The 21546-nt window shown below is 43.9% G+C and overlaps 4 annotated features.

Moving 5' to 3' along the window:
* Positions 8433-9039: an enhancer, noted in NCBI's record as "OCT4-NANOG-H3K27ac-H3K4me1 hESC enhancer chr6:52191145-52191751 (GRCh37/hg19 assembly coordinates)". NCBI's record gives its function as "activates a minimal SCP1, AML or CMV promoter by ChIP-STARR-seq in naive H9 embryonic stem cells {active_cell/tissue: H9 hESC(naive)}" and the evidence as "EXISTENCE:reporter gene assay evidence [ECO:0000049][PMID:30033119]".
* Positions 9040-9645: an enhancer, noted in NCBI's record as "OCT4-NANOG-H3K27ac-H3K4me1 hESC enhancer chr6:52190539-52191144 (GRCh37/hg19 assembly coordinates)". NCBI's record gives its function as "activates a minimal SCP1, AML or CMV promoter by ChIP-STARR-seq in naive and primed H9 embryonic stem cells {active_cell/tissue: H9 hESC(naive and primed)}" and the evidence as "EXISTENCE:reporter gene assay evidence [ECO:0000049][PMID:30033119]".
* Positions 16083-16142: an enhancer, noted in NCBI's record as "active region_24674". NCBI's record gives its function as "activates an Ori minimal core promoter by ATAC-STARR-seq in GM12878 lymphoblastoid cells {active_cell/tissue: GM12878}" and the evidence as "EXISTENCE:reporter gene assay evidence [ECO:0000049][PMID:35858748]".
* Positions 17328-17387: a silencer, noted in NCBI's record as "silent region_17282". NCBI's record gives its function as "represses an Ori minimal core promoter by ATAC-STARR-seq in GM12878 lymphoblastoid cells {active_cell/tissue: GM12878}" and the evidence as "EXISTENCE:reporter gene assay evidence [ECO:0000049][PMID:35858748]".

Here is a 21546-nt window from a genome sequence, read left to right as displayed (position 1 = left end):
GAATGGGGTGGTGGCATCAGAGAGCCCCCTTTGGCCACCAGTAGGTGCCTTTATTGATGTGTTCCCATGAGAAGGAACAAAGAAAAGGGGTTGGAATAAAAAAGAAGAAAATCCTGTCATTCATGGCATAGATGAGCCTGGAGGACTTTATGTTAAGTGAAATACACCAAGCACTGAAAGACAAATACCGCATGATCTCACTCATGTGGGAGATAAAATAAATTTTTTGAGCCCATGGAAGTAGAGAGTAGAATTGTGAGTATTAGAGGCTGGGAAGGGTGGGTGAGGGAGGGGAGGAGGGTGAGAGTTCTGGTGCTTTGCGAATGTGGTTAATTATAATTTATTGTATATTCTCAAAAAGCTACAAGATGATTTTGAATGTTCACAACACAAAGAAATGGTAAGTGTTTGAAGTGATGATATGCTAATTACCCTGATTTGATCATTACTCATTGTATGCATGTATTAAAATAGCACTCCAGCTGGGTGCGGTGGCTCACGCCTGTAATCCCAGCACTTTGGGAGGCTGAGGCAGGCTGATCACAAGGTCAGGAGATTGAGACCAACCTGGCTAACATTGTGAAACCCCGTCTCTACTAAAAATACAAAAAATTAGCTGGGCATGGTGATGCGTGCCTGTAGTCACAGCTACTCAGGAGGCTGAGGCAGGAGAATCGCTTGAACCCGGGAGGCGGAGGTTGCAGTGAGCTGAGATTGCACCACTGCACTCCAGCCTGGGTGAAAGAGCGAGACTCCATCTCAAAAAAAAAAAGAAAAAGAAATAGCACTCCATATCCCATCAATTTGTACAATTATTACATGACAACTAAAAATAAAAGGAAAAAGCAAAGCAAAGAGGCTGGAGAGAAAGGAGTGTAATTCCATCCCTTTGTGGTAGTGGGGGTCCAGTAGGAGGCTGGGCTAGGCAGGGAAGCAAGGAACTCACTTGCCCAACTCCAGGGATTTCAGATCTTCCTGTTTGTACAAGCAGGTGGTTTATTTCTAAATAAGCTATTTTGGATTCTTACTTTGCATAGAGTTTGTACATGTTTTCTGCAAAAGCCCAGGCAGAGGCCTCTGGGAGGGGAGTTTGGTGATGAAGTCAGCCAGAATGAGGCTTTTGATATATGGAACTTTTGCCTGATTTCAAGCAATATATCTTCTGCTCCCTTTATTCTTTCCACTTTCTCAGCTCCACCAGCCACATGGTTTTCTTTTTTATCCAACAGGTATAGGTGAATCAACTGCCTCTCTATGGTAGAGTGTCTATTATTCTAACAAGGGCCAGCCCCAGGAAAAACTGCAGCAGTTGAAGTTCAGCTTCTCCTCTTCCTCCCTACCCTACCAACTCTGTAGCACAATCTAGTTGTCAAGGAACCCAAAACATTTGTGGTTTAATGTGTGACCTTTCTCACAGTGTTTTCATCCTGATAGGCCTGTTACATTTTGCTTTCCTGTGCATTTTCTCATTTGGCCAGCAACCCTGTGAATAAAACACTCGTGAGCATTATCTCCCAAAAGGTATTTTGGACCACTTATGAAATTAACTGTCATCTTCTGAGAGCTTGCTACCTGCCAGTCACTGTGCTGAATGCCTTACATACCTCAACTAATCGTCATAATCACTGTGAAGCTGATACTCTTATCCCTAATTTCCAGAGGAGAAAGCTAGGTATACATAACTTGCCCAAGGTCACACAGCTAACTAGCGGCAAAATCAGGATTAAAGCCTGGGTCTGACCAAGTCCAAATCCTGTGCTCTTATCTCTTTCACCATTCTGCCTGTGCAGAAGGCAGGACAGGTATTAGTATGCCTGTTTTCTTTGTCTTTTCTTTCTTTCTTTCTTTCTTTCTTTCTTTCTTTCTTTCTTTCTTTCTTTCTTTCTTTTTCTTTCTTTCTTTCTCCTTCCTTCCTTCCTTCCTTCCTTCCTTCTTTCTCTCTCTCTCTCTCTCTCCTTCCTTCCTTCCTTCCTTCCTTCCTTCCTTCCTTCCTTCCTTCCTTCTCTCTCTCTCTCTCTCTCTCTCTCTCTCTTTCTCTCTTTCTCTCTTTCTCTCTTTCTCTCTTTCTCTCTTTCTCTCTTTCTTTCTTTCTTTCTTGAGACGGGGTGTCACTCCATTGCCCAGGCTGGAGTGCAGTGGCTCAATCCTAGCTCACTGCAGCCTCGACCTCTTTAGCTCAAGCAATCCTCCCACCTCAGCCTTCTGAGTAGTGGGGACTACAGGTATACATCACCATACCCGGCTAATTTTTGTATTTTTTTTTAGAGATAGCGTCTTGCTATGTTGCCCAGGCTGGTCTTAAACTCCTGGGCTCAAGCAATTCTCCCACCTTGGCCTCCCAACGTGCCGGAATTGCAGGTGTGAGCAGCTGCACCTAGCCATATGCCCATTTTCTAAAGAACTTTTTCTCTTTTAAAATGGAATTTCAGAGAACTATTTCACAGAACTCCCAGTGGCAGAGTTGGGGCTAGAGCCCCTTTAATAGATGACGACAGAAGAAAAATTCCTACCTCCTGATTGGGCCACCATGTAGGCTTCTAGGCACAGTAATAGGAAATGTAAAAACCTTCCTGTACCTCTCACATCATGTAGTCAGCACCTGACTCTTACTTCATAAATTGAGTCCACGTGGGGCGTGGTGGCTCACTCCTGTAATCCCAGCACTTTGGGAGGCTAAGGCGGATCGATCACAAGGTCAGGAGATCAAGACCAGCCTGGCCAACATGGTGAAACACCATCTCTACTAAACATACAAAAATTAGCCGGGCGTGGTGGTGTGTGCCTGTAATCCCAACTACTCAGGAGGCTGAGGCAGAGAATTGCTTGAACCCGGGAGGTGGAGGTTGCAATGAACCGAGATCACGCCACTGCACTCCAGCCTGGGCCACAGAGCGAGACCTGTCTCAAAAAAATTAAGTCCAAATAAAATGGAAGACTCTCCTCAACCACCTGCAATATGGCTTCCTCCCCTGCCACTCCATGAAATGGCTCCTCTCCACATCATCTTTGACCTCCTGGCTGAATCGTTTTTACTTCATATTTGTGTCTGTCTTGGCCTCTCTGCAGTGTTTCATTGCTTATTGAAACTCTCTTCTGTCTTGATTGTAGGGTAGCAGCCTGTCCTGGTTTTACTGCTACTTTTCTGGCTTCTCCTCAGCTTTTTCTCAAAGGCTCAGGTTTCGCTGACTACATTGGTCATGGTTCAGGTGCAGAAAGCATAGCCTTCCCTAGCTAGTTTAAGCCAAAAAGATTATTGCAAGGTATTAATTGGCTTACAGAATCAGTGGGAGAGCTGAAGAAGTGGATTTGAGGCTGAATTACTAGGAACAAAGTCACACTCAGAACTGAGTTGCCAGGGGAGTTGCTGCTTCTGCCACAGTTAGGGAGTGTCAGCTGAGCTAGCAAACTCACAACCTAGGGTTGCTGTGCTCCGCACAAGCAGAATAGATGCTTCCTGCCCTGCCCGCCTTGTGCCCCAACAACTCATTCAACTCTGAATTTGGAGTCTTATGTCAGTGTGTCTAATTGTCACAACCTAAGTCACATCCTTAGAAACTCTACCTGGGGAATTTGGAAAATGTAGTTTTTGGCTTCCCAATTCTGCAGTATGGGAAGGCATACTCAAAGGAGATTGAAATAGACATTGAGTCACTCAGTCAGTTAGGTTTTATTTTTTTTTCCTGTTGCAATATACCAATAACAGATAATATTCACCATGCATTACTCACTCCCTTGACTTAAATTCTGATGCAGTTTCCTAAAATTTAGCTGGAAAGTAAAGCATAGACCACAGACTACTCAGGGAAGGGGTATTATATTCATAAAAACATTTTATAAACATGTGAGTAAGTAAAATATTCACTTAATGATATACCTGTCCTATGAATGTTTTCTTCCTTTCTATTTTTTCTCTTTTTTAAACTAAAAATGTAATTATTGGAAAACATAAAGATAAATTGGAAATAAATATAAAGTTATAAAGAAGCACTACAATACTTAAATCTCCATTGGTATTAGAGGTTATATAGCGTTCTTCTCTAAGAGCTAGGACAAAGACAAGCTGGAATGTGAGTTATATGTGCTATTTCCTCAGCTCTGGCATTAACACCATTCAAAATAATATTTAAAAGCAAGTAGCAGGACGGGCATGGTGGCTCATGCCTGTAATCCCAGCATTTTGGGAGGCCGAGGCAGGTGGATCACGTGAGGTGGGGAGTTTGAGATCAGCCTGACCAACATGGAGAAACCCCGTCTCTACTAAAAATACAAAAAATTAGCCGGGCATGGTGGCACATGCCTGTAATCCCAGCTACTCAGGAGGCTGAGGCAGGAGAATCTCTTGAACCCGGGAGGCAGAGGTTGTGGTGAGCTGAGATCACACCATTGCACTCCAGCCTGGGCAACAAGGGCGAAACTCCGTCTCAAAAAAAAAAAAAGCAAAAAACAGGTAGCTGAGAGTGCTGTTATTAAAGGCATAGCCTGGTACCTATTTTAATTTATGTAAAGCAAGTCATTCACAATTTTAATTCTTTATTATTTTCCAGTTTTAAATACAACGTATATAGAAACAATCCCCATGTATGGGTGTGATTACCACTGTACCTTGCCATTCTGCATGCAAATCTGATTACATCATGCCTTGCTAAATAGCTTTCAGAGGCTCCACACCCCATTGAGATAAAGAGTAAGTTCCTCCAACTAGCATTTCACACCCTGTGTGAAGTGGCCCTTGCTCCAGCTCCTGCCATGTCTCCATATCCACACTCCATTCCAGCCGAAGCAAACCAATGACAAGTTTTCCAATGCACCATGCTCTTTTCTGACTCTGGCTCTTTGAAAGTATTGATCCATCTAGAGAGATTATCTTTCTCCCACTCTTGCCTTCTGAGAACTCTAAGAACTCCCCCAAGATACAGTTTATGTGTCACCTTCTCCCAGAAGCTCCGCCTGAAATCACTCTCAGCCCATACCCAACTCCCAGGCTGAATTAGGTGCCCTCTCCACGCCACCCTCCCCTCACCCTTCACTTTCTCCAAGGCTCCCTCAGCACCCTCAGCCATAGCACACTATTGTTAACTGTCTATTTACATATTGGTTCTTCCCATTAACTGGTCTGATTTTTAAAGTTGGAGGTTGATTTTACATAAATGTATTACTCCAAAATAGTAATGCCTAAACAAATATTTGTAAAATGAATGAGTAATCAACAAATGAACAAATGAATGAATAAAAATGTTGGCTTCTCTAGTACACAATCTACACATGCTTTATGCAATTTATAAAGACTATTCACTTGCCAATACAGAAAAAAAAATGATTTTGCATCTTATTGCAGGCATCTAAGTGTGTATTAGGTTAGCTAAAATTTGGCATCAAAGATCAGGTACAGTCACTCAGGCCTGTTATCCTAGCACTTTGGGAGGCCAAAGTGGGCGGATCACTGAGGTCAGGAGTTTGAGACCAGCCTGGCCAACATGGTGAAATCCTGTCTCTACTAAAAAATACAAAAATTAGCCAGGAGTGGTGGTGCACGCTTGTAATCCCAGCTATTTGGGAGGCTGAGGCGGGAGGATCACTTGAACCTGGGAGGCGGAGGTTGCAGTGAGCTGAGATCGCGCCATCGCACTCCAGCCTGGGAGACAGAGCGAGATTCTGTCTCAAAAAATAAAAATAAATAAAATCTTGGCATCAGAATTTCAGGAACTGAGAGCTTGTTAGGCAAGAAGACTAAATAAGTGGTCTTTAACTGGAGCTTATCCAGTGGTCCATGAACTCCCTGAAATGATATGCAAAATTATATTTATGTATTTGTGTAAGCCTGCACCTCACATTCATGTGTTCTCCTTTATAGGGCAGGTCAGCAAGGCTTCTTTGAAAGGAGGAGTGGGGCCTGGTGCGGTGGCTCACACCTGTAATGCCAGCACTATGGGAGGCCGAGGCAGGTAGATCACCTGAGGTCAGGAGTTCACGACCAGCCTGACCAACACGGAGAAACCCCATCTCTACTAAAAATACAAAATTAGCCAGGCATGGTGGCACATGCCTGTATGCCCAGCTACTTGGGAGGCTGAGGCAGAAGAATCACTTGAACCCAGGAGGCAGAGGTTGCCGTGAGCCGAGATAGCGCCACTGCACTCTAGCCTGGGCAACAGAGCGAAACTCTGTCTCAAAAAAAAAAAAAGAGAAAAGAAAAAAGAAAAGAAAGGAAGAGTGGAAAGCAGCCAGGTCTATTGCAGACAAAGCACCATGGAAACACTTTAATAGGCAATGAGTAGACCGAGAATGGGGTGGGTGATCATAAGAATGAGATGGCAGCTGCAAAGAAGGGACAATTCAAACATTTTAATTTATTATTGGGTTCTCACCTGGTGAAGTGTGCCACAGTCAAATATAGCATTAAAAATATATTTACCAATCCAAGTGTGACAGGATCAAACTTCACCCTCCCCCCACACTCCACTCTATTAAGGAGTCTGTGTTTGCCCTTTGTGTGATGTTTACTATGAGGGAGGGAGAATTGAAAAGTGCAGAGAAAGACAAATTTAACTTACAAAAATTTTCTGCGTATATACTTGTAAAGGAAAAGAATACATTCAGAAGGTAGATGAAAGGGGCTTTTAGGGTTTGCCAGCAGTAGATAAGACAGATGTAGAGAGCAGCAGCTTGGATGGAGGGAACTCAGAAATGAGCTGTCCAAGTAGGATTTTTTAAAGTATAATTTTTTTTATTAAATGTGATAAAACTTCCTTTTCACCAGGCTTCCTAAAGACATAAATTATCTTTCAAGGTCTTGGGAGGTAGATTCGTGTGTCTGATTAGCGTGGGTTCCACATGGCAACAGGCCTCAAAGCAGAAGCACACAGTACTTGATTTATTTGTTGGGGTTACACAAGCTTCCCTGCCTGTTCTGCTGTGGGACAGCCTGGAGTCCACACCCACACTAGCCTATTTTTGGTCTGGGTTGGGTAGCTTACAAGGAAGGTAAGAGGCCAATTGACCCCTTATCAGTAGTTTCATTAACCAAGCCACTCCCAGATTTTTATTTGTTTGGTGGGAGGTCTGGGTCATCAAGTGGGGAAACTTCCCCAGAACAAGCTACTAAGTCTCCGAACAAAGGAACACAAAAGGTGTTACCATTTTTTCCTGAACAATTGGTGGGTTTTTTGTTTTTGTTTTTTTTTGACAGAGTCTTGCTCTTTTGCCCAGGCTGGAGTGCAGTGATGTGATCTCAGCTCACTGCATCCTCTGCCTCCTGGGTTCAAGTGATTCTCCTGCCTCAGCCTCCTAAGTAGCTGAGATTATAGGCGTGTGCCACCATGCCTAAGGGAGGAGACCACCCCTCATATTGTCTTAAGCCCAATTTCTGCCTCCAAGAAAGAAGTAAAAACTAAAAGGCAGAAATGAAATCCACAGGCAGACAGCCCGGCGCCACACCCTGGGCCTGTAGTTAAAGATCAACCCCTGACCTAATCGGTTATGTTATCTATAGATTACAGACATTGTATAGAAAAGCACTGAAAGTCCTTGTCCTGTTCTGTTCCGTTCTAATTACCAGAACATGCAGCCCCCATTCACGTACCCCCTGCTTGCTCAATCGATCACGACCCTCTCACGTGGATCCCCTTAGAGTTGTGAGCCCTTAAAAGGGACAGGAATTGCTCACTTGGGGAGCTTGGTTGTTGGAGACGTGAGTCTTGCTGAAGCTCCCAGCCAAATAAAGCCCTTCCTTCTTTAACTTGGTGTCTGAAGGCTTTTGTCTGTGGCTTGTCCTGCTACAGCCCGGCTAATTTTTGTATTTTTTTTTTTTTTTTAGTAGAAATGGGGCTTCACTATGTTGGCCAGGCTGGTCTCGAGCTCCTGACCTCATGATCCGCCTGCTTCAGCCTCCCAAAATGCTGGGATTACAGGCGTGAGCCACTGCACCCGGCCACTAAGCCCTTTTTCTTGTAGTTATCCTCCTATGAAGATAGCAACTTTATCCAAGGTTCGTTCCCCCTCCCAGGGCAGGCTCCATTCAATGACTGGTCAATGTCCCCAACATGGGGACAACTCTTCAGGGTCATCCCAGTTCCAGAGACCCATGTGGTGCAAGAAAGCAGGCGCTGAAGCTGGTCACCCACCAACTGGCTGGAAAGAAGGAAAAGAAAATCTGGGGACCCAATTCACTATGCCAAAAGAAAAAAACATTAAGCTGAAAGCTGAGTTATGGAAGAAACTGCCTTTCCTTTTGTTCCTAAGCAAATAACTACAAATACAAGGCTAAATATCTCCACAGGAGATATTTAAATAAAAGGCTAAATACCTCCATTCTATGTTCACCTTATATAAAGTGCCGATTTACTGAGCACAATATGAATACATCATTGACTATCCCCCTACCTACTCCTTTTCCCTTGCAACATGTAGACTACCATACCCTCCTTCTTTCCCCTCCAGCCCACTTTCCCTCTTTGGATATTGAAGACCTCAAATTCATCTTTAGAGAAAGTCACAGACCACAGATTACTTCTGTGATTCTGTGTTTCTTTCTTCTGGGCATGTCCTTAACCTTGGCAAAATAAACTTCTAAATTGATGGAGCCCTGCCTCAGATACTTTCTGGTTGACAGACCCATCACGGGTGGTTGGTAGAGCATGGATAAAGCCTTGCACACAGTAGCAGAATGATTGCTAACACTTTCTGGAAGGGCATACCTTTGGAAGGGAATGCACTGGCTGGGGCAATGGAACCAGTATTTGAGAAGCATGAGGAAATTAGCAATTATAAGGACAGTAGGATCAGATGACTGTTGCTGAGGGCAAAAGATGTTCTGGAGAAAGACAAGGAAAGGCTGAGGGTGATTAACCCAGCAATTAAATCAGCTAAACATAAAAGTCAGAGGGCTTTCTTGTCAGTACAAGGAGACTCTCATCTATAGCTGGAGAACAGACAAGGTTGAAGATCAGGCTAGGCACTGAAGCACAAAAGTACAAGGTTCCAAAGAAAAAAGATTAAATTCTCAGCAGCTAAAGGAGGAAAAGGACTACAGGAGCTGCAGGACCTGGTCAGTCTGCACCAGCAGAGCTGAAAGAGATTGAGGCAGGAGAATAGGGCCTAGAGACAGCGAACTTAAGGCCAATTTGTGCTGACTTCCTAAAAGAGAAAACACCAAGTTCTGGGAGCAGGAAATCTAAGGCCAATTCATGCTGACTTCCCAAAGCTGGATCAAAAGGAAAACAAGTGGGACTGAAGGCAGGCAACCTGAAGCCAATTAACACAAACTTCCTAAGGCTAAACCAAACGGGAAAAACTACATCTCCCTACTCCGAGTAACAAAGGATCAAAGGCTACTCTCCCTGCAACCCTCCCCCTTCCACCACATACCAGATGGAAAGGGACAGTGCCTTGGATTAGCTGCAGGCCGAGCACGGGCCGTCCCTTTTATCTTCATAGGGCCCCAATTCACCTCAGCCTTTCTTTCTTTTTGTTTTGTTTTGTTTTTTGAGGCGGAGTCTCACTCTGTCTCCCAGGCTGGAGTACAGGGGTGCGATCTCGGCTCACTGCAACCTCCGCCTCCCGGGTTCAAGCGATTCTTCTGCCTCAGCCTCCTGAATAGCTGAGACTACAGGAGCACACCACCATGCCCGGCTAATTTTTGTATTTTTAGTAGAGACAGGGTTTTACCATGTCAGCCAGGCTGGTCTCGAACTCCTCACCTCGTGTTCCGTCCGCCTCAGCCTCCCAAAGTGCTGGGATTACAGGCGTGAGCCACTGCGCCCGGCCCACCTCAGCCTTTAATTAGCCACAGACCCAATCCTTCATCCAGGTAAGGGGTATCCGATAAGAACTTCAAACGGGGTACTTAAAGCCCAGAAAACTTTGTAACTGGGCCCTTGAGCTGCTTGCTTGAGACCACTCCCACCCTGCGGAGTGTTTTCTTGCTTTAATAAATTCCAGCTGTCAGGGGCCAGGCACAGTGGCTCACACCTGTAATCCCAGCACTTTGGGGGGGTCAAGACGGGAGGATCACCTGAGGTCAGGAGTTCGAGACCAGCTTGACCAAAATGGTGAAACCCCGTCTCTACTAAAATTACAAACATTAGCTGGGGGTGGTGGCGGGCACCTGTAATCCCAGCTACTCAGAAGGCTGAGGCAGGAGAATCGCTTGAACTCGGAAGGTGGAGGTTGCAGTGAGCCAAGATTGTGCCATTGCACTCCAGCCTGGGCGATAGAGCAAGAATGTCTCAAAAAAAACAAACAAAAAACACACCAAGGACCTGGACAACTAGTAGTCAAGACCCTCCACTGGTAATAAGATGATGTATGGGTTTAGATTCTGAGGTTATAGGATCAAGAGGAAGAGGCTGAGGGAGAGTTGATTGATATGGGACCATTTTTCTGGGATATAGGATTTAATATCCTGGCATGGACCCCAGTACACTGCTGGGATGGCTCTTTACACATTTGGAGAAAGTGATGCCCACATTAAATGAGAAGTAAATATCAGAACTTCTGTTGCAAACAGTGGAAAAAGGAATCAAATATCTCATAGAAAGGGGTATGTTTGAGTGGATTTGTTATGTAAGGATGGAAAACCCACCAGAGGACAATTTTCCATGGTAGGGTCCAGAGGACATTTCATTTACCAAAGCAATAAAGAAAGCTCTGATAAGAGGGACAATTCATCTTGACTGGAATCAACAAATATTTTAGCTTTGCCTCCGTCTTTCCTGTTTACAAGGCCCCAGACAGCACCACTGTCCGAGGTTTACAGAGTGTTTGATCCACTGGGAGGAGATCCTACAAAAGATCAAACTGGAATAAAGGACACACTTTACAACCCATAAGATGTGACAGTGAGTACATGGTCATAGGACTCAATGGCTCTATCCATACTGTTACAGGTAGATAGGCATGAGCGGGGCAGGAGAGTGCTCTCCCCGCACCCACTAGAAATGTTGAGTGATGGCTCAGCAATTATCGCATTGCCTCTCTAAAAATGATAATTTGGAAGCACCAGGGAGAGGCCAATTCCTGACGGTCCACACCTCTTAACATCAAAATGTTAATTGAATGCAGGCCCTAGGGATAAGCAACTTCCTGGGCATGCGTGTTAAGAGACAAAAATGTGGACGTATGATCTTCCAGGTACACTCCACTGGAAAAGGGAAGAAAGCCTCAGATGGGCATGCATATAACTCCCTATACACACAGTGCCTGCTCAATTCCAAAGGGTAAGGAAAGTACCACATATGAGGAAAGCCCACCCTAAGGGAAGAGTTATGGGAAAGAGGTGAGCCTGTAAGTCCTGGGATCAAGGTTAAAGACCCCCTTTTTTCTGTCTTCTTTTGCACCCTTTTCTTTCTTGGACATTCAGGTGTCCGGCTGAGTCTCTTTCAAGAGAATTTTCCATTCTCTCCTGTTCCAAAGACTTTTAAATAAACTTCCACTCCTGCTCTGAAACTTGCCTGGGTATTTTTTTCTGCTTTATGCCCCTCAGTCAAATTCTTTCTTCTGAAGAGGCACAGACTTAAGTTGCTGTGGACCCTATGGATTCACTGCCAGTAATTCGTGGTAACTCAGATCTTTTCCATCGCTAACAACACTGCACCACATAGAGCAGCAGAATGGCTTGTAGAGGTGCAAATGAGAGGCCAGCTTGAAGGTGATACTTTATAATGTATATCCTTTTTTTTTTTTTTTTTTTGAGATGGAGTTTCACGTTTTCACCCAGGCTGGAGTGAAGTGGCATGATCTCTGCTCACTGCACCCTCCGCCCACGGAGTTCAAGTGATTCTCTTGTCTCAGCCTCCCAAGTAGCTGGGATTGTATGTGCCCGCCATCACGCCCAGCTATTTTTTGTATTTTCAGTAGAGACGGGGTTTTGCCATGTTGGCCAGGCTGGTCTCAAACTCCTGACCTCAAGTGATCCACCTGCCTCAGCCTCCCAAAGTGCTGGGATTACAGGTGTGAGCCACCAGGCCCGACCCTTACAGAGTATATCCTAAAGCAACATCATCATATGGTGTGGTGTCCCAAATAGGTAGAACACACGGTTTTGAGAACCAAGCGGTAGGAGCAGGAGTGGCCCTGCTTACCCACACTGCCAGGGACCCACTTGGAGAATGTTTGCATCCTGTCCCTGCAAGTCTGGGCCCTGTGAGTTTAGAGATCTCCACTCCTGGGAAGAGGATGTTCCACCAGGGTATACAGTGAGAGTACCATTCTATTTGAAGCATCGTCTGTTGCCCTGTTACTTTAGGTCCTTCCTGCCAAGAAATCAGCAGGCCTGAAGAGGTAACTAGTTTTAATCTTCTGGAGGAGGTAGCCCTGTTGTTATAAAATGGGGAAAGGAAAGAATATTTCTGACCCCAGGTGATCTACTTGGTACTCCCTTGCAGCAGCCAGAGCCTGAGGAGGGCAAGGTGATCAGGAGCTCAGTCCCCTGAGGGACAAGTGTCTGGGTCATACCACTCAGGAAAGCCACAGGGTTAGGGGACTCTATCATGGATAGAAGACAGAGATCGTGAATACAAGTATATCTTGTTTTATTGCACTTAGCAGATACTGTGTTTTTACAAATTGAGTGTCTGTGGCAACCCTGTGTCCAGCAAGTCTATCAGCTCCATTTTTCCAACAGCATATGCTCACTTCATGTCTCTGTGTCACATTTTGTTAATTCTTGCAATTTTTCAAACTTTTTCCTTATCATTATATCTTTTGTGGTGATCTATGATCAGCGATCTTTGATGTTACTATTGCAATCGTTTTGGGGTGCCATGAGCCATGCTCATACAAGACGGTAAATTTAATTGGTAAATGCTGTATATGTTCTGACTGCTCTAATGACTGGCTGTTCCGCATCTCTCTTCCTCTGATGAGGCCTTCCTATTCTCTGAGACACAACAATATTGAAATTAGACCAATTAATAACCCTACAATGGCCTCTAAGTGCTTAAGTGAAAGGGAGATTTGCACGTCTCCCACTTTACAGCAAAAGCTAGAAATGATTAAGTTTAGTGAGTAAGACATATTTATAGCTGAGGTGGGCAGAAAGCTGGACCTTTTGCACTAAACAGCCAAGTGGGGAATGCAAAGGAAAAGTTGTTGACGGAAATGAAATGTTCTACTCTGGTGAACACATGCATAATAAGAAAGCGAAATAGCCTTATTGCTGATATGGAAAAAGTTTGAGTGGTCTGGATAGAAGATCAAACCAACTACAACATTTCTTCAAGCCAAAGCCTCATCCAGAGCAAGACCCTAACTCTTTTTAATTCTGTGAAAACTGAGGGAGGTGAGGAAGCTTCAGGAGAAAAATTTTAAGCTAGCAGAGGTTGATGCATGAGGTTTAAGGAAAAAAAAGCCATCTCTGTAACTTAAAAGTGCAAGGTGAAGTAGCAAGTGCTAACACATTTAGAAGGTGCAGCAAATTATCCAGAAGATCTAGCTAAGATCATTGATGATGGTGGCTACTCTAAACAAGAGGTTTTCAGTGTAGATAAAACAGCCTTCTATTGGATGAAGATGACATCCAGGATTTTAATAGCTAGAGAGAAGTCAGTGCCTGGCTTCAAACTTCAAAGGACAGGCTAACTCTCTTATTAGGAGATAATACAGCCAGTGACTTGGAGTTGAAGCCCAGCACTCATTTACCATTTCGAAAATCTAAAGGCCCTTAAGAATTATGCAAAATCTACTCTGCATTTGTTCTATAAATGGAAAAACAAGGCTGAGATGATAGCACGTATGCTTATGGCATGGTTTACTGACTATTTTAAACCAACAGTTGAGATCTGCTCAGAAAAAAGAATTCCTAATGGAAAGCACACTTGACTTGGAGACTTGGAGGCAGTGGAAGTAGCCTCAAGTTGTGGCTGAGGTCAGTTACCATCTGTGGGTTTTTTTTGTTTGTTTGTTCGTTTGTTTTTTGAGATGGAGTCTTGTTCCATTGCCCAGACTGGAGTACAGTGGCGCAGTCTCAGTTCACTGCAACCTCCACCCTCCACCTCCCGGGTTCAAGCAATTGTCCTGCCTCAGCCTCTCGAGTAGCTAGGATTACAGGTGCCTGCTACCACACTCGGCTGATTTTTGCATTTTTAGTAGAGGCAGAGTTTCACCATGTTGGCTAGGCTGGTCTCAAACTCCTGACCTCAGGTGATCCACCTGCTTCGGCCTCACACAGTTCTGGGATTACAGACATGAGCCACTGCTCCCAGCCCCATCTGTGTTCTGGCATGGTGGCTCAGAACACCAGCTTTGGCATCATACAAACTGGATTCCAGTCCCAGGCTACCTCTCATTATTTATGTGTTTGTCCTTGAAGAAGCTGCATAACCTTCAGAGCTTCAGTTTCCTCATTTGTAAAATGGAGACATAGCAGTGTCTTCTGCACAGAAATTCTTGCAGGGAGGAAAGGATATATGGTCAAAATGATTTCAGTCCCCTTTCATGCCCTACAAAATGCTGTGTCAAGCTGTACTCAGAAAAATCCACATTACTGGCCGGGCGCGGTGGCTCACACCTGTAATCCCAGCACTTTGGGAGGCTGAGGTGGGCAGATCACGAGGTCAGGAGATCAAGACCATCCTGGCTAACACGGTGAAACCCCGTCTCTACTAAAAATACAAAAAATTAGCCGGGCATGGTGGCGGGCGCCTGTAGTCCCAGCTACTCGGGAGGCTGAGGCAGGAGAATGGCATGAACCCGGGAGGCGGAACTTGCAGTGAGCCGAGATGGCACCACTGCACTCCAGCCTGGGTGACAGAGCGAGACTCCATCTCAAAAAAAAGAAAAAAAGAAAAATCCACATTACTTCTGCCCTCTACCTGAAGGTTGGAGTCTTCAACTTTCTGGGTTGTCCAGCGCACTGGAGCTGCCCAGCACAGTTCATGTGGTCTTGGGCAGATGGTGTTTGGTGATAGAGAAAAGTTGTTGGGTATCTAAAGCAGATACTTTGTTGGCAGAACTGAGATCTAGGATGAAGTGAGAATGTGTTGTGACCTAAAAACCATATTATGTTCCATGGTCTCAAAAAATTTGAGAAATAAGGCTTGTTGACATTCATACCAGACGACATTAGCAGACACCGTATAAATGATAGTTATTTTAACCTATTTATAGTGGCATTATTGGTTTTTCTTTAATTTTTCAGAAAACCATTTGTCAAGATTACAAAGCTAAGTGCTGGGGACATGAAGGTGAATAACAGTTCCTGCCCTCCAGGAAGATCATAATTTAATAATCGAGACAGCCACTTGAAAGATTATAACTACAGCATATAATTATAACCATAAAACAATGTAGTAACCTCTGCTGTAAAAATGGCTTTCTTGGCCGGGTGCGATGACTCATGCCTGTAATCCCAGCACTTTGGGAGGCCAAGGCGGGCGGATCACGAGGTCAAGAGATCAAGACCATCCTGGCCAACATGGTGAAACCCTGTCTCTACTAAAATACAAAAAAAAATTAGCCAGGCATGGTGGTGCACGTCTGTAGTCTCAGCTACTTGGGTGGCTGAGCCGGGGGAATCCCTTGAACCCGGGAGGCGGAGATTGCAGTGAGCCGAGATTGTGCCACTGCACTCTAGCCTGGCTGGAGACAGAGCAAGACTCCATCTCAAAAACAAAAAAAAAAGGTTTTATTCTCTTGTTGTAAATTACATGTTTTAGATTTTTGGTTTTGTAAAGTATCTTGTACTCAATTTAAGCAAAATTTTAAAATTAGAGGCTTAAAAATTGGAAAAGAAGAGGCGAAAATTTTAGTACCTGCAAGTGATATAACTGCTATTTGACAACTGTAAGAGAATCAACTAAAAAACTATCAATGATTAGAGAATACAGCCTTAAGAAGGACTGGTGGATGCAGAAAAAGGGTTCAGGAGAGAGGGTAGGGCTTTCAGGGAACCTGGAATGTTGGAGACTCTCCCGCTCCAGAAGGAGACAATTAGAAAGGGCAGAGTTAGTGCAGAATGGCCTGAGCCCAGGAGGGGAATCTCCTGGGCTTGAGAAGAAAAACCCTTCCTCTGCCAGGCCTAGGGATAGGAGCAGAGCATGCAGGGACTTAGGGCCCAGAGGGAAAGCATAAACCCAAGCTGAGTCAGAGGGGAATTTGTGGGGCTCCTTCTGTCAGATAAGCCAAGAAGTAAGTTCCAAATATATCTTGGAGTTGAAGTTTCTATTCTTTATTGGTCTTCTTCCTGGTGGCCACGGAGTTGGCTGGAAGAAATGGCTCAAGTCCCAAGCAACCAGAGGTAAAGCCACACCAGACAGAACTACTAAGGCTACACTCCATTTATGAGATGCAAACTCAGAGCAGATGGAGCAGGAGTTTGCACAGCAGCCTCTAAGAGAGTGCTTAGCTTAGGCCGGGCACAGTGTCTCACACTTGTAATCCCAGCACTTTGGGAGGCCAAGGCAGGCAGATCACCTTGGAGAGGTCAAGAGTTCGAGACCAGCCTGGCCAACATGGCGAAACCCCGCCTCTACTAAAAATACAAAAATTAGCTGGGTGTGGTGGCACATGCCTGTAATCCCAGCTACTCCAGAGGCTGAGGCATGAGAATCACTTGAACCCAGGAGGTGGAGGTTGCAGTGAGCCAAGACTGTGCCACTGCACTCCAGCCTGGGCAACACAGTGAGACTCTGTCTCAAAAAAAAAAAAAAAAGAGAGAGAGAAAGTGCTTAGCATGATAATTTCATCATCCTGTGGCTGATTCTTTGAGAGTCTAGTAAGAACATCCTAATAATTAAAGTCCTGGGGTCTTGCCATGGACTGACAGGCAAGAGAGGTCTTGCCATGGACTGACAGGTAAGGAGTGGAGAATATTGAAAGTCTGCAGTCCTGGTTAGAAAATGGGCAAAGAAGGAAAGAAAACTAGAGGATCCTACAGGAAAGATATGAAGTGTGGCATGGTGGCTCAGAACACCAGCTCTGGCATTATACAAACTGGATTCCAGTCCCAGGCTACCTCTTGCTATTTATGTGTTTGTCCTTGAAGAAGCTGTATAACCTTCAGAGCTTCAGTTTCCTCATTTGTAAAATGGAGACATAGCAGTATCTTCTGCGCAGAAATTATTGCAGGGAGGAAAGGATATAAAGTATCTAAGTGCTTGGCACAATCCCAGGCACACAGTGTATGTGCAATAAATGCTAGAAATTTTTATTATTATCAATCCTCTTTCTTCTTGTCTTGAAAGTAGTGAGATTGTGCAATAAAAGAACATCAGTGGGGCATTTCCTCTTTCACAAGCAGCAAATAACTATCAGACTACACTTCCAGGTGAAGTCCACATTCCTTGTGGACATCGTCCTGAAATGCTGGTCCCAAAGGGCATGGCCAAAATCGAGGTGCAGGTGTTGAAAGACGTTTTATTTCTCACTCTGTCTCTCTAACCTTGAAATCAGCCAGAGTTAAGGCATCTGGATGACTCATAACAAGCATCTGTAGAGAAGAGTACTTTCTGCTCTGGTCAGAGGAAGAATTAACAAGCCATTTGGTATTGCAACCTTCTCAGTCAGAATGCCAGGACTGGCTCTTGCCCTGTGCCTGAACTGTCACCAATAATCCATTTTAACTCCTTTTAAATTCTGAATAGTGGCTTCAATGACTGTGAGAGTTTGGGGTGGGGTTGAAGGGGGCAACTTTTTGAGGCTTGAATATGCACAAATAAATTAGGTGGCTATTTAATATTGGGTTTGTTAATCTGTATTTGTAATACAACAGATAAGATATATGCATTATTTAAAATGTCCTGTGGTTTCAATTTTGTAAGATTGATAAGACGGTGGATGTATTTGCACTTGAATTAAATTAGAAATATTGGTCATCATCTGTCATGTAAACTAAACTTAAGCCTTAGGCCATGATTTCCTGATTTTATAATCAAGAATGCCTTCAGCCCTCATGGGCATGCCAAAGTCACCAAATTGTGCCTTTGCTCCACCAGGATGTTTAGTTTCCACTAGATAGTTCCACTTTAAGACTACAGAACTTAAACTTCCTCAGGAATGTCAGTTTTGCAATGTGGCCTCTAAGTCACGGTGTTCACACCCTGGAAAATTCTATGATTTTCCCAATACTTTATTTATTTATTTATTTATTTGAGACAGAGTCTCACTCACTCTGTCACCCTGGCTGGAGTGCAGTGGCACAATTTCAGCTCACTGCAACCTTCATCTCCTGGGTTCAAGTGATTCTCCTGCCTCAGCCTCCTGACTAGCTGGGATTATAGGCACAGGCATGCACCGCCATGCCCAGCTAATTTTTGTATTTTTAGTAGAGATGGGGTTTCACCATGTTGGCAAGGCTGATTTCTAACTCCTGGTCACAAGCAAGCCGCCCGCCTTGGCCTCCCAAAGTGCTGGGATTACAGGTGTGAACTACTGCACCTGACCCCCAATACTTTTAAAATAAATCTTTTTTGTGCTAAATTAGCTGAAGTTGGCTTCCATTGCTTACTGCAGAGAGCCGTGATTGACATACATCTTCTGTGCATCAGTTTTTCCATGTGACATATTGGTACTATTAATTATATATTATAAAACTGGGCATTAAAATGTTAAATAAATAGTCTAAATATTTTTTGTGCAAATAATTGCCAAGAAAATTATTTCACATTTAAAAATGCAATTATGCCACTTGCTTTTTTCTTCATTATTCCATTTTCTTTCAAAGACATACACAGGTATTAAAATAAGTAAAAAAAAGTTCTTGAGTGTGTTGGAAAGTGTTTTTTTTTTTTTTTTGAGACGGAGTCTCTCTCTGTCGTTCAGGCTGGAGTGCAGTGGCACAATTTCAGCTCACTACAAGGTCCGCCTCCCAGGTTCACGCCATTCTCCTGCCTCAGCCTCCTGAGTAGCTGGGACTACAGGTGCCCACCACCACGCCCAGCTAATTTTTTGTATTTTTAATAGAGATGGGGTTTCACCACGTTGGTCTGGCTGGTCTTGATCTCCTGACCTCGTGGTCCACCAGCCTTGGCCTCCCAAAGTGCCGGGATTACAGGCATTAGCCACCATGCCCGGCCGGAAAGTGGTTGGTTTTTAAAACAGCTGTAAAATATCTTGGTGATAGAAATATTATAATATCTTGAACATTATGAATATTGAAATTTTGCTTAATGAAAAGTGTTATTTTTGAAAACAAAACGTTTTGAGCTTCTAGGAAGAATGACAGGATGAGATATAAGATATTCTTATTTAAGCATGTTACTATAGACCTATAAAGGACTTAGACACATGTCCACATGCAGCTGCAAGAAATGGCACGACCAGCTCATCATGGGGGTTCTACTATATGAACCAAAGGAAGAATGGACATGAAGGTCTTTGCCACATGGGTTTCCTCCACAGCAAAAAATACAAACAACATTATCATTTTTAACAAATGCATAGATATTTATATTTCACATTCTCCTTTAATTCAATATTGTTTTAGTATCAGCTTTATATTTTACATGGAGTAAGCATTTTTCTCACTTGATAAGGTCTGTATTTCAAAGAGAAACTTGAAAAGAACTAGATAAGATGAGGAAATATATGGAGACACCCAGTCACAGAGGCCAATAGTCGACCCAGTGGCAGTCAGAGCCTCCGTAATTAGAGATTTGTGCTTAGTGGGCAGACGATGCTGTATTGGGCAGTGGGAGAAAAATGGCAGCAATATTAGGGCAACAAACACACGACATAGTCCTGATTTTCTCCGTCTGTGTCCCTATTACCATCTATGCAATGAAGATTGAATAATTGTTTCTTTTTTTATTTAGAAAGAAAAAATGTAAACTCATGCTTTAATTATCTCAAATACTTGATGATAAAAAATAAAACAAAATAAACCCATGGTTCAGATTGTTCTGAAGTTTCAAGGAAATGTATGCTTCTGTTTTCACATTTTTCCAACTAAGTATTATTTAGTGAATTAATGTCAGATTTTGTTTTCTTGTCTATGTCACTTATGGTTCAAACCATAGAGTACATAGAATTTAATATGGGATAGTGTTGGATATAAAATAATACAAAAAATAGGATCCCTGCTTTCAAAGAGCCCTTAGACTCTCAACTATAGGGCCCGGCACGGTGGCTCATGCCTGTAATCCCAGCACTTTGGGAGGCTGAGGCAGGCAGATCACTTGAGTCCAGGAGTTCGAGACCATCCTGGCCAACATGGTGAAACTGTCTCTACTAAAAATACAAAAATTAACTGGGCTGGTGGCACACGCCTGTAATCCCAGCTACTCGGGAGGCTGAGGCACGAGAATCGCTTGAACTTGGGAGAGGGAGGTTGCAATAAGCTGAGGTCATGCCACTGCACTCCATCCTTTATGACAGAGTGAGACTGTCTCAAATAAATAAATGAATGAATGAATAAATAAATAATCTCAACTATGAGTAACTGCAAGGATCTGCTAGTTGATCTCCCTGAACACTGTCTCTGTTCTCTGTCCAGTTCACCATCCACTCTGCAGTTAATCTCCCACTGCTTTTATGATGTCTCATCACTATCATCAATGGCTTCCCATTTCTGTTAGGACAGCTTTCAAGGCCCTCCACAATATGGCCTGAACCTACTTGTCTGATGTGGTCTTCTACCACCCGGGAGAGTGAATCAGGCAGCCAGGCCAGTGTTTCAACTGTTCCCAGACCAGCAATCCAGGCTCTTCCTCACGCTGTTGCCTCCAACTCAGCATGCCCAGCCTCCTCCTTTCCATCTATCCAGGTCCCAGCCATCCTTCCTCTCCATTGAAACTCTCCCAACCCCTCCCTTATATATCCATATCTTGCTTCTGATTTCCTTTTCATCCTAGGCATTTTCACATTGCTATTTAACTGCTTTAAGAGTGTGTGCCCTTCCTTTTTTGTTTATTAAACAAATGCTTAATGAACACTTACTGTCTGCCAGACGATGTGATCAGCACTTGATAGACAGCAGTGAACAAAACCAACCTTTTCTCTACCCTCATTCTACCCTTAAGTGAGGCAGGATAAACTGTAAATAAATAAGCAAGCGTAAAGTAATTCCAAATGCTAAGGGCTACAAAGGCAAAACCAAAAACATTTGGAAGCTATGAAAGAATAGCAGGTAGAACCTAAATTAGATGGGTTAGCGGGTGAAGGCAGGGTGTTGTCAGGGAAAGTCTCTAAGGGAGTGGCATTTATTTTTATTTTATTTTTATTTTTTTTGAGACAGAGTCTTGCTCTGTCGCCCAGACTGGAGTGCAGTGGCAAGATCTTGGCTCACTGCAACCTCCATCTCCCGGGTTCAAGCGATTCTCCTGCCTTAGCCTCCCACGTAGCTGGGACTACAGGCACCCGCCACCAGGCCTGGCTAATTTTTTTTTTTTTTTTGTATTTTTAGTAGAGACGGGGGTTTCACCATATTGGCCAGGTTCGTCTCGAACTCTTGACCTCGTGATCCGCCCACCTCGGCCTCCCAAAGTGCTGGGATTACAGGCATGAGCCACTGTGCCCAGTGGGAGTGACATTTAAAATGAAGAATGGATAGGAGTTAGGAAGTTGAGCAAATGGTAGCAGGAAAAGTATTCCAAGGAACAGCATCTGCAAAGGTCC

Source organism: Homo sapiens, chromosome 6 (genome assembly GCF_000001405.40).
Source record: "Homo sapiens chromosome 6, GRCh38.p14 Primary Assembly".
NCBI lineage: Eukaryota > Metazoa > Chordata > Mammalia > Primates > Hominidae > Homo > Homo sapiens.
Note: the sequence above shows the minus strand (reverse complement) of the source record. Positions and strands in the feature narration are given on the sequence as shown.